Source organism: Homo sapiens, chromosome 13 (genome assembly GCF_000001405.40).
Source record: "Homo sapiens chromosome 13, GRCh38.p14 Primary Assembly".
Taxonomy (NCBI): Eukaryota; Metazoa; Chordata; class Mammalia; order Primates; family Hominidae; genus Homo; species Homo sapiens.
Window position 1 is genome coordinate 79,187,067 of NC_000013.11, and position 12,531 is coordinate 79,199,597.

A 12,531-nucleotide genomic window follows, 5' to 3' on the forward strand; every position below is an offset into this window, starting at 1 on the left:
CATTTGTTTCTATCATATTTTTCTCCATTTTGTCTTCCAAGAAAATAAATGGAGTTGGTTATTCTGAGGAAAAACTAAGATCTGCGTTATATTAAAACTACCTCACACAAACACACACTTCACTTCCTTTATTACATTTGAAATCTAGGTCTAACATTTTATGAAGGTTAAAAGGCAACCAGATTAACTGTTCAAATAATATTACACTTGAGGTTGTTTATTATGTGCATATAAGTTTTTATCAAAATATGCTAAAACAGTTTTCCTGAGACTTCTGAAGGAATAGTCTTCAGTCTTCCTTGTTGAAATCAATCTAAAAATATTTAGCATTGTGTAAATCTCGTAATAGCCACATGCATCTTTATTAGGTCATGCCAATATTAAAGAGATTAACAAGAAAAAAATTCAGTCCTTGTAGCATGTATTTCCTACGTTGTTACTATTAAATTATTCTGAAATTTGGAAAATTAATAAATAAACCCTGTAGTGAATCTACGCTCTTGGGTGAGGTTAAGAATTTACATGTCACCACAATTTTATCACTAAAGAGATGAGCTAACATCTTTATTAATTCACTTAAAACCATTATTTCACTTCAAAGAGATCTACATACATTTCAAAATATGTTGCTTTAACACATTTTCAGTACATTTTCATCAATATTTTATTTTGCTATCACCCAGCCTTACCCCTCATCACAAATAATAAAGCAGGGTAGCCAGGCAGTTTAACACAGCTTGAATTCAGCAACCGCCTTCCACTACTATCTTAATTCAAATACCAAAATACACTCCAAGGGACAAAAGAAGTTATCTGCAGTCAGAAAACATGACTCTGTAAATCGCTCAGAGTTTATAAAAGCTCCAACCACACTCACTATATATGATTTCTTAGATTCCATGTTCTATTTGGCTCAAAACCTATATTTGTACAGATAACATTGCTATTCATGAAGAGTAAAAAGGAGGCTGTCACAAGTGGAAATCCACTTAAACTGCCTTTCTGTTGAGGTTGAATGCTGCCCATCAACTCATTCATTCATCCACACAATACAATTATGAGAGTGCGCTATACACACAGTGTTCTGCAGTGCTCTATCCTCAGACTCTTAAAAGAAAATACATCCTAAGTTCTCCCACCCACAGGCATTGTACAGGCAATGTAAAGAGTGACGACAAGCCTTACATTTCTGCCATTAGTTCTCTTCAGGGTTAAGACCTATGCCTTTGCTAAAAGACAGTGATAGCCATTAAATACCATAGCATGATTTTGATTATCAGAAAAACCAGCAGAAAGAGATGCACCATGGAACAGAAGTCAGGACTCATAACTCTCAGCAGCATGACAGAGCACCAGGCAAAATATAAAGTAAGTGAATTTCATGGGGAGTACTTAGAACAGCAGAGAGAGCAGGTGTCTGGAGTCAAGGACATGTGTTGACTGCTAGCATCACTGTCACTAGCTGTATGATGATGAGTAATGCATTTCATTTCACTGACTTTCTGTTTCTTCACAGACAAACTGGAAATAATAAAATACTCCTGAAAGGGCTGATGCAAAAATTAGTATGTGGAAGTGCAAGGCACAGAGAAGACACTCAAAACGTTGTAGCTGCTTTTCCATCCTTTCTTTGAGATGAACATTAGTGTGAAGCAGAGGGCTGCCAGGAACTTTACATGTCATGGAGGGGGAAGGGATAAATTTGGGTAATCTAAATTCTATAAGCTTAAGGGTCTGAAAACCAACTTCAAATTTGCCTAGCACTAGGATATGCCCTATCTTGGGTCCCAAAGTCAAAGACTGTTTTGGTCAAGCACACAAAAAAAGGACTTTACAGACGATTTTGATTAAGAGCTCTAAGTATTTACAATCTACACCCCAGGTATTCCCAAACTCCATTTGAGCCTCAAAAATGTTTTTAGTGGGGCAGAGGAGGGTGAGACAATATCTTGCTCTGTTGCCCCGGCTGGTTACAATCTCAGCTCACTGCAATCTACGCCTCCTGGGCTCAGACGATCCTCCAACTTCAGCCTTCCAAGTAGCTGGGACTACAGGCATATGCCACCATGCCCAGCTAATTTTTGGTTTTGTTAATTGTTTGTTTTTGTTTGTTTGTTTGTTTTTTGTTTTCGCCATGTTGCCCAGGCTGGTCTCGACCTCCTAGGGTCAAGCAACCCATCCACCTTGGCCTCCCAAAGTCAAAATATGCTCTTACCAAGTCGAATTTCTCCTTGGTAGGCAGGACACTGCCAAACTTACCTTTTATGCTTTTTCCTTCTTCCATGTTTTCTCTCATCACAACTTTTTTATTTATCACCTTCTAAACAACACATCTTCAAATGATTCCTATTATCATAGAGCCACCACTTTTGTTTATACAAAATATAAGCATTCCCCCTCTTTAAGTTTCAGGATCCTTTAAGAAGAGATTTTAAAGAACCAATTAAACATGCTATAACTGAAAATGTTTCAAAATGAAATTCTAAGCATTGTCCAAATGAACTACATCCCAAACTTTCACAAAACACAGTAGACTACAAACCATCTCCTCTCTCCTTATATTGGTCTTTGTTTATAAGATTACTAGTATAGAACCTTACACAGAGTAGAAACAACCTCTATACATTGTATAAATATGGGCAAATTAGCCAAACCTCAAGGTTCTAAGGCCTTTGGTTCATTTGTTTCATATAGCCCATGGACCCAAAGTGGTGGGACTGATTTCCACAGAGAAATCTATCACAGGACAGCAACATACATTGTTCTCTTCCATTCTTGAATTTGACAAATGTAAGTAATGTTATAACTGACTCTTTCTAGAATTAACAGTGACATTTTTTGTTTATAAATTAAATTACAGCCAGACACAGTGACTCATGCCTGTAATCCCAGCACTTTGGGAGGCCGAGGTGGGCAGATCTCTTGAGCTTAGAAGTTGAAGACTAGCCTGGACAACATGGTGAAACCCCACCTCTACAAAAGATTTTTTAAAAATAGCTGGGTATGATGGTGTGCATCTGTGGTCCTAGCTACTTAGGAGGCTGAGGTGGGAGGATGGCTTGAACCCAGGAGGTGGAGGTTGCAGTGAGCTGAGATATTGCCACTGCACTCCAGCCTTGGCAACAGAGACAGACCCTGTCTTCAAAAAAATAATAATAAATAAAAACAAATTAATTAAATCACTTTGCCTTTAGTTAACTTACCATAATCCTTTGTTAATCAATATATAAATTCTCATTAGTCTTCTCTATAATTTCCTTACATTTACATTGGTTTCTAAGTTTGGATAACTTTAGAAGGCTATTTGTGAGGGTATTAATTGATATTATTGGAGAGTAGCAGAAGAGACCCTGCTGCTTTAAAATATGAAACACAGGGAAGATCACCTGGTTTGTAAATGATCAATGCTAAGTCATTTGTGAATTTTGGCAAAGGTGGTTTAATTTACTCTAACATTTTACTTATTTAACAAAGTCCTCATGCAGTGCTCACTGTCTGCCAGGCACTGCTCTGTGTGCTTAATCAATATGTACCATCTATGCAGAAGTTACTTTTTAAAAGTATGATGTTGAAACTATCAGTATTCTTTCCTTTGAAAGATGAGTGACAACAACAGCAAAAAACTATATTCAGCCGCTTTGTTGTGTCATGAGCAAAACAGAAAACAAATTAGCATCGATGGCATTGGCTTTCATGTAGATTAGAATACCCTCTCCTGGTATTCTTACGTATTCATAGCATTGTAACAACTGATGGTTTTTAAATTTCTCTACAAATCAATCCAGATTATGAAATCTGATGATCAGAACACCTAATTGTCACCAATCCAAATTTACCTACTGGAAAAAAGTGTTTTTTTCATTATATTTCTATCTTACATTGATTTTCTTTCCTGTTGAGAACCAAATTTCAAGCATTTACAGACTCCAGGTGGTTCACACCTCCTAGAAAGATTTCTCTAGAGAGCCATTTACTTCATTTTTTCAGTTCCTGCAGTGCCAGTAAACCTCGCAGAGGAAATGTTATGTAGAGGGAAGTGAACAACAAGGGAGGTGACTCCCTAAAACAAATGCAATAATAATTCAACACACTCCAGCCACACTGCAATGCAGAAACCAAGTAAACAAGCCATTGCTTTCGCATTCACTGTGCTAAGATGTGAGCATATCTGCATTATACCTGACAGAATCAACCTCTGAACAGCAGAGAGCTCAATGGTGCCAAAGCAGAAGTTGGCAATAGCACCAACAACTCTAGCACTTCTTGTTCCTATCCTCTTCTGTATAGTGCTTCAAGAAATAGGTCCCACCATAAGAAAAACAACAACAACAACTAAAGATGAGACTTCTGCAATCAAAGAGGGATAGAGTTAGGCTTGTCACACTTATGAGGAAGTTCAAAGCCGAAAACACAGGGCAAAACAAAGTTAAAGATAAAAGAACTGAAAGGCAATGCCATCTATGCTGATACTGAATTCCATTTTAGAAAAAGAAGAAATTAAGTGGAGGAACTTGTTGGAAGGGAATGCTCTGCTCTTCTTTATTTCTTATGTTTTCTTCCTATGAAACAAACATGTTAGTGTCACTCCAGCCTCTCCCTGCCCCCTTCCTCACTGCAGTCTGGGGGAAGAGGAGTGGCATGTGTGCTTGCTAAATTTGGAGAAGAATTTGGGAACTTATCTGGCCTATGCCAGTCAAGTGACACCAAAATGTGGGAGTGAGGAGCAAGTCTGTCCAGTTCTAGGTTCAAAATCAACAAGCTCACTAGAGTAATAGACTCTAAGCTCTGTCATCCAATCTGAATTCTATTAGTGGCAATAGGGACATTTTTTATTCCATATTTACTCTTGGCTCTATTTCTCAACTTGCTTGGAACCCACGTGGGAAAGAGAGTAGCCACTCATTAGAGACCACCATGGAAAGCCCTCAAACTTTCACTGTTAAAATAAAATACTCAGGGTGTATCCTTCTTTCTAGAGAGAATCAGATCACTTGTTCAAGCTTCCTATTCTTCCACTTTACCACTACTTTTCCACCAGTGAATCTCTAACCATCCCTTTCCCAAGCTCCTCATACCCTCTTGCTGTCTTTCCTGCCCCATCAAAGCTTGCTTTCATTTGGTTTATTTGTATCTAGATGTAAATGACTAATAACAATTTCTAACATGTTAGCTCATCAGAATTCAGCTTTTCAGATCCCTCAGGATTCTTTAACATTTTAGACTCAGAAGACCTCAAAATACAATGTCCTTATAGAAAATATAGTGGCATCAAGGTAATGGCAAATAACAAATGCACCTGAGAGAAGTTACGGATTGTACCCAGTGTGTCTTTGTGGTGGGATGGAATTTGGGGTCTGTGCATTTCAGAGAATATTTTTACTAAATAAAATAATTGGAGAGAGACTAGGCCAAAAACATAGTATTTTTTTCCAGCTAACTGGTAGTCATTCTTTAAGACTGATTTTTTAAATGTTGTCTTATTGATAAGATCTGACCTCATTTTCCTACATAGGGCAGTTCTTCCTCACCTGTGCTCCTCACAGAAATCACAAGGCTCTTCTCTCCCCTTTTTCTATTACAGTGCCTTGGGATTGTCTGCATATTCATCTGCCCACTAGTTTCTGATCCCCTCAAGAATGCAAGGAGTGTCCGATTGTCTTTGCATATCAGTCTGATAGCCAGAAGTATTCCATAAATTGGGGGGAGAGTTGGATGGAATTGTACCAGATGGTAGGAGTTCAATGAGAAAGAGAATAAAAAGGCTCACCTATTTTGAAAGTATTAATCTTTTCTCGAAAAAACAAGAAATATTAGAGAGGCTCTAGGAGGCAGAAGAAAGAAGATGAACTGAGAAGAAAGGTTACAGAACGCAATAGAAATGGCTTTAGGGGTAGATGAGAACATGACACCCACATTTAGAAGTGTCGAAGAGATTAGAATAGTCAGAAATGTGATATGGGAGAGCAAAATTCCCCCAAAGAGACAGCATGGGGAATGGCTGTGCAATAGCAGTGCTAACAGGGACAAGGACAAGACACGATTAGGACTGCTCTGACCTAGGGGCAAACAACCACTGCCAAGGACCTTAGAAGGTCCATCTTTCACTATCTAGAAAACTGGCTGCAAAAAGATGTTCATTCTCTTAAGCAGTAAAGCCAAGTTCAAAGACCTGTACCCTTAAACTAATAAGTTAAAACCCCAAAAGAAGGATTTTAATAATTATGAAATAATTTGAGGACATAACAAGAACTTCTACTTAAGAAATAGAATCTTTTGATTAATAATAAAAAAAGGCAATATGGAATAAGCATCCAAAAAGTCAAATGTTAATAATATTCAGCCTTGAAAAGGAAGGAAGTTCTGACACATGCTACAACACAAATGAACCTTGAGGACATCCTGCCAATTGAAATTAGCCCATCATGAAAAGACAAATACTGCTCGACTTCACTTATATGAGGTTTCTATGTGTACTCAACTTCATCGAAACAGAATAAGTACAGAGTGCCAGTTTTGCAAGATGAAAAGTTCTGGAGATTGGCTATACAACAACATGAATATAGTTAACAGTACTAAACTGTACACTTAGAAATGACTAAGGTGCTAAATTTCATGTTATGCATTATTTACCACAACAAAAAATAAAAATAAAATGTTTAATTTTTAAACCTTTTTAAATAAACCAATAATGCTACAAATGATTTTCATTCAATTATCTTCAAGACACAAAGGAAAAGATAAAAAAAAAATTTCAACCATAGCCCAAGTTATGTGGGTATATTGGAATTATTTGCTCATCTTAAATTTTCACAGAAGTAACACGGACTTCTCCTTAAAACAAAAAATCAAAATTTCAAACCAACAAACAATATGCTGTCAGTTTATTTCATGGTTACATCTTGAATTTAGCTAAAAAACACAAGGCAAAAATTCTCTGATGCTGTATGTCTTCAATATTTGCCCACCTACCCCGAAACTAGACAGGTTTTGCATTCTTATGCATTTTTCTCAGATTTTGTGCTTAGATTACTTTTTTTCTTGCTTTTCAAAAGTGCCTGAAACCTATTTCCTTATACCTTTGCTGTAATGAGGGGAAAAAAATTGTTTGATTAGAAATATTTAGGGGTGGGCAAAAAAATTTGCATTTCTGCTGACAGCTTCTATACTAAGTTTGGCCCAGTGGGATTAGAAGTCTCTGAGATATTAAACCTCGGAAAGAAGAATTTGTAATGGAAAGGCTGAAAGAACTTAATTATAGCCAGTAGCACCACTCAAATACTTTAAGCATCCTCAAATGTGCTGTGTTATCTTAAGAGAAAAAAAAAGATACAGAAAAGATGGAGGTTATGGATCAGACATAGGCATCACCAAAAAAGCAGTTTCACTTCTGGGTAATTTGGGGCAGCCAGTCTAACCACAGAACATCCGCAGTGCTATTTAAAGAACTAGAGAGATGTCACACTCATTATGACACCTGCAATCATTAAATCTGAAAATGACTTTAGCTAACTTCTCATGAGTGCCTCGCTCAGGACACCTTCCTTGTGTGTATTTAAGATCTAGAGTAGGAAGAGTCAATTGAGTTTCTCTTATCTTAAAGTAAAAGACAAACATCAGAAGGTCTCTGCTTTTATTTGCAAGAAATACAATTCTCCTATAATATATACTAGAGTTGACCCTGGAATAGATTGTTCTGTCATTTTCCTCATTTCTTCCTTTTCCTCACTTATAGCAGAAAAGTCTTACCCATTCCCCCACTCTAAGTGTCCCCTCTGAGCTGAGAAACTTGATGATCTTGTCACAGGTAAACAGGCAAAAGAACATCCCTGCACTTTCCACTGTCCTAGGCATGCGGCTGAATGCAGGGCTCTGCAGAGAGGAACCATCTCCACGCTGTTGTGCCTGTAGTATTGGGGCACCAGGTCCTCCACCTACATGATGAGAATAGTCTTTATAACTAATAATCCTTATATCAGAATAATTAGACAAACCTTATATTCTGAGGGGTACTGTCATTCTCTTAACCTAATTCCTGGAATCCAGTCCCTTATCTGTCTTAATCAAATTTTCTAAAAGTTCCTTCTCACTTCCATTGACTTAATGACTATTGTAGCTTTAGCTTCCTTTTGCATCCAAGACCACAGACTTCCACAAGTCTGCTTGATTTTCTTTTCCAAACACAAGGAGTCATTTTACTCATTGATTGCTATCAACCTATGACTCCTGATAGGCCTTATCATGTTTTAAAACCCTCATCCAAATTCCAATAGCTCTGTTTTCTGGAACCTGAACTGCCCTTCCACCCCCAGCCACCCAAATCTCTCCTATTTCTGATTCCCTGAGAGAATGTTTTCCCTCTCTCATCCATTCCATGAAGCAACACATTCTTTCATGGATTTACTGGAATTCGAGGGAACTGCCATTGCAGGTAAATCTTTCACATTCTTATGATGAATTCAGAACTCCAAAGTAGCAAAAGTAACATGATGAAGTCCAGATTAAAGTATTTTGTTCATCATTCAGATGGATTTTCACAGCCAGCTTGTATGTAATGATTAAAGTTGTAACCAGGAGCAGACTCCAGGCCATTTCTTGCTTTGCCTGGGAAACCTATTTAATGTAACAACTTCAGATCACTCTGTCCCTTGAGGCTTCTCTCCCACACCTATTAAAGAACACCACCAATAGAGATAGCTACCTAGATGACAACTGTAAAAAAGAGGAAATTTTGTCAAAGACAACCCCTATCATGGAGCTAAAATAATCAAGACTCTATCTAATGTCAAGCAACTTCCTTCTTAATATATACTTTTAGCTCCTGTACATATGTATTTATTTTTACTGCAAAATGTGAGATTACCATGTGCCTACCATATTCTAGGCACTGGGGATAACTGTGTACTGCTAGGCAGGAGGCCTGCCCTTAAGGAGCTGACCTTTCCCTGGCTGCTTGATTCTTTTTCTTCTTTATCTTTTTTATTGGCCATATCAGAAGCAGCTGTGAAACCAATTCATGCTTGTCTCTACTCTGCACTAACTTCTTCATTCATTTATTTAGTCTCTTCCTCATATCAGTGCTTCTAGATGAAACATTTTTTCTCTCCTAATATGCTTTTCCAAAATAAATTACTCATTTTGAGGTGCTTTTAGCACTATGAAAGACACTTTAGTGGCCCTCCTTAAAGCTGTCAACATGCACCCACATAGCCAAAGGTATCCTGTTGGAGTTGAACTGTACTATCCACAACCCAATATAACATGAGATAGTTGGGTTTCAAATGGTTTTGTAAGGTTGCCTTTCATTGGCGGGTGGTAATTCATCTTCCAATCAGGCCATCATCAACAAAAACACTTTGTGAGTAGAATACAATAACTCTTCTTTATACACTCCTGAGGTTATCTGAGTAAAATTTCTCATACCAAGCAACATTTCCTCAGTCTTTGAGCTTGCTCACCTTACCCTACTCTTATCTTCCCCAATCTCAGTCAGTGTGATATAGAAATAGAAACTCATTTTAGTACCCTCCTCGAGAGGCTGCTGTGTATGCCACCACTTTGTCTTTCAAACACTGATATGGATTGGCTGTGTCCCCACGCAAATCTCATCTTGAATTGTAGTTCCCATAATCCCCTTGTGCCATGGGAGGGACCTTGTGGGAGGTAATTGAATCATGGGGGTGGTTACCCTCATGCTGCTTTCATGACAGTGAATAAGTCTCACAAGATCTGATGGCTTTATAAAGGAAAATTCCCTGCACAAGCTCTATTGCTTGCCACCATGTAAGACGTGGCATTGCTCCTCATTTGCCTTCTGTCATGATTGTGAGGCCTCCCCAGCCATGTGGAACTGTGAGTCAATTAAACCTCTTTCCTTTATAAATTGCCTAGTCTCGGATATGTCTCTATTAGCAGCATGAGAACTGACTAATACAAACACACACACAACACATAGTGTTACTCAGAGTGCTTCTGTTATGCACATGGCTACTAAAAAGTCAAATTAACATTTAAGGAAATCACTCCCATCTATTGCGTCAAAACTGACTGAGCCAAAGGCAAACCCATGGAAGAATCAGAAATCAGTGTATCCTGAACTAACTTGAAAATCCTTACTCTAGACTGCAAATCAAATTTCCAGCTGATTTTTAGTGATGAACACTGCAGGTACACTTTTTGGGTAGCTTATGGACAATAAAATACCAATACGTAGTTCTCTTCTGGTCCATATAGATCAAAGCAAAGCCATTTACAAAAGATTTTCCTGCTTCATAATCCCCATGAAGTTGAAATTCACCTCTCTCAGACTTAATATTGTTTCTTTCTTCCCACAGTAAAGACCCGCCGCCTGTGAGATGACCCAGGCAGAAGTTCAACACTTTGGTACTTCGTGCCTCAGGCCTTTCACTAAGAAAATTGAGTGTGAGAACTTTATCTCCAAAAGTGTCTGCCTGTTGTGACATCTCTCCTGGGTCTCTGCAACCCTAAATTCTTCATTTCTTTTCAGAATTTAGCTGAAAAGCACTTTTTGCTGCCTGTTTATCTCAATGTCTGTCTCTCACTGCTAGTATTTATTGCTTATCACTGTAAGTCTTCATTGAATGTAATCTGTTTGGGGATACAGTTGGCATGAAAAATGCTTCACCAAATGAAGTTGTAAAGTATTATACATAAATACTTAATTCCTGGATTTATTTATTATCATCATTACTTATTTACCACCATAGGCATCCAGGACACCTTTGAAAGAAATAAATCTGGTGGGTTGCTCTCCCAAATTTTATCAGAATATCTTATAAGATATAAATTAATGTCATTATGTAATAAGTATTAAAATTCCTTATATGGCTAGTACACATTTTAGTTTATGAAAACTTGTACATATCTAATCTTCCCAGCCTTCCAATGGTGAAAATGATTGAGTCTCCAGGTTACAGGTCAAGAAACTGAGACTCAGAAAGTTTGAGTGATATTCCCAAGGTCACGTGAATAACGAATTTCAGAGCTGGGCTCAAACCCAGGTATCCTCCTCCAGGTCCTAAGCCCTTCTCTCTCCCACAGCTGCCTACAGGATCAGCAGGATGAAAGTAAACCCAGCAAGGGCCAAATGAGAAACAAAACAGGATCCATTGTCTCCTTTCTCTGCTTTGTGAAGCCTTCATGACAGGGTACAGTTTGGTATACACTGAATTTACATTTTATATTGGTGAAATTAACATGACTTTGTATTTAATTCAGGGTCATTGAACCCTAAGTTTACATTTGAGGTCCCCATACTGAATTTCTATTTGCAATAGTAGGCAAGCTAGAAAAGGCCACTGTAATTAGCCCTAATTAATACACTAGTTAGTACAATTAATGAGTTCTTTTCTCTATGTGCCCAAGAAATACTGGAGATACCTGAGCTACAATTAGGCCATTTAGTGGAAAGAGTCCTGTGCCAGCAAAGGGAGACACAGATCCATGTGGAGCAAAGAAAGGTGATGTTTGTTCATATGAGTGGAGTCTGTGACCTTTATTACTTTTAGATTATTAGAATGCATTTAAGTAATGGCTATACATGCTTGAAAGTCTGATGGGCCTTGGAAATACATTCAATTACATTTATTCCATCCAATACATCCTTACTCTGCCAATGACAGATACAGAGAAAAAAACTATGCAATAAGAATTTCCATGGCTAAGCAGTTATATACATTTTAGGGGATGTTTTGAAGCATTCTGTTTGGATGGTAAACTCATAGTCTCTTGCAACTTCATTTGTTTGTCTGTTTAGGAGTCTTTAACAGGGAAAATTACCTTTCCATCAGTTTTTTTGAAAGTATTCCAGATTTTACCATCCTTTTCAAGAAAATGTCTACCTCTCATTCAGGTAGTCCTACACTAAATCCAGTCTCATACCCTTGCGCATTCCCTGAAGGGAATAGGAACATGAGCCCCGAATTCCCATGGGAAGTCTGCTGCACAAACCAACAGAGAATTTCAGAATAATGCTGTTCTTGTCACTGGGAGCTCTGCAAATAACCTTTGCTTATATAATACAATTCAATCTAATTGATGTTACAATGAAATTCCGGCTCTGCAAATCTGTCTTATCTTTAAAAGTTGCCCCGTGTTACCCCTTCCTAAAGGAGTGTTTCAGTGCAAACCCCAGAGGCTGTGGACATGCAATTCCTCAAAAGGAATAAATTAACTATTGAATCTTATACTGGCAGTCGATGGAGCATAGTAAGTCCCCAAATAAATATACTGCCTGGAAAATTTGATTCATTTATAATAAAATAGATTAAATTGTCACCTTGAACTGAAAAATAATTACTCTTGAACTAAGTGTAACAGACCAAATGCATCTATTTTGGACAAGAAAAAAAGAGGAAAGGGATAAATAGAAAATGTAATGTCTCAGTTTACATAGAAACCATCTGAAAGAAATTAAAAAGTGGGAAATAAGGAATATAAAACATCATGCATATGGGCAAACAATGTAAGTGTTTTCCATGTTTTCTATTCACATCATTGATTTTAGTTCTATAA

The 12,531-nt window shown here is 37.7% G+C and overlaps 5 annotated features.

Moving 5' to 3' along the window:
* Nucleotides 3,877-3,986: a silencer, noted in NCBI's record as "silent region_5425". NCBI's record gives its function as "represses an Ori minimal core promoter by ATAC-STARR-seq in GM12878 lymphoblastoid cells {active_cell/tissue: GM12878}" and the evidence as "EXISTENCE:reporter gene assay evidence [ECO:0000049][PMID:35858748]".
* Nucleotides 7,172-7,261: an enhancer, noted in NCBI's record as "active region_7850". NCBI's record gives its function as "activates an Ori minimal core promoter by ATAC-STARR-seq in GM12878 lymphoblastoid cells {active_cell/tissue: GM12878}" and the evidence as "EXISTENCE:reporter gene assay evidence [ECO:0000049][PMID:35858748]".
* Nucleotides 7,372-7,591: an enhancer, noted in NCBI's record as "active region_7851". NCBI's record gives its function as "activates an Ori minimal core promoter by ATAC-STARR-seq in GM12878 lymphoblastoid cells {active_cell/tissue: GM12878}" and the evidence as "EXISTENCE:reporter gene assay evidence [ECO:0000049][PMID:35858748]".
* Nucleotides 7,852-7,971: an enhancer, noted in NCBI's record as "active region_7852". NCBI's record gives its function as "activates an Ori minimal core promoter by ATAC-STARR-seq in GM12878 lymphoblastoid cells {active_cell/tissue: GM12878}" and the evidence as "EXISTENCE:reporter gene assay evidence [ECO:0000049][PMID:35858748]".
* Nucleotides 10,845-11,476: an enhancer, noted in NCBI's record as "OCT4-NANOG hESC enhancer chr13:79772046-79772677 (GRCh37/hg19 assembly coordinates)". NCBI's record gives its function as "activates a minimal SCP1, AML or CMV promoter by ChIP-STARR-seq in primed H9 embryonic stem cells {active_cell/tissue: H9 hESC(primed)}" and the evidence as "EXISTENCE:reporter gene assay evidence [ECO:0000049][PMID:30033119]".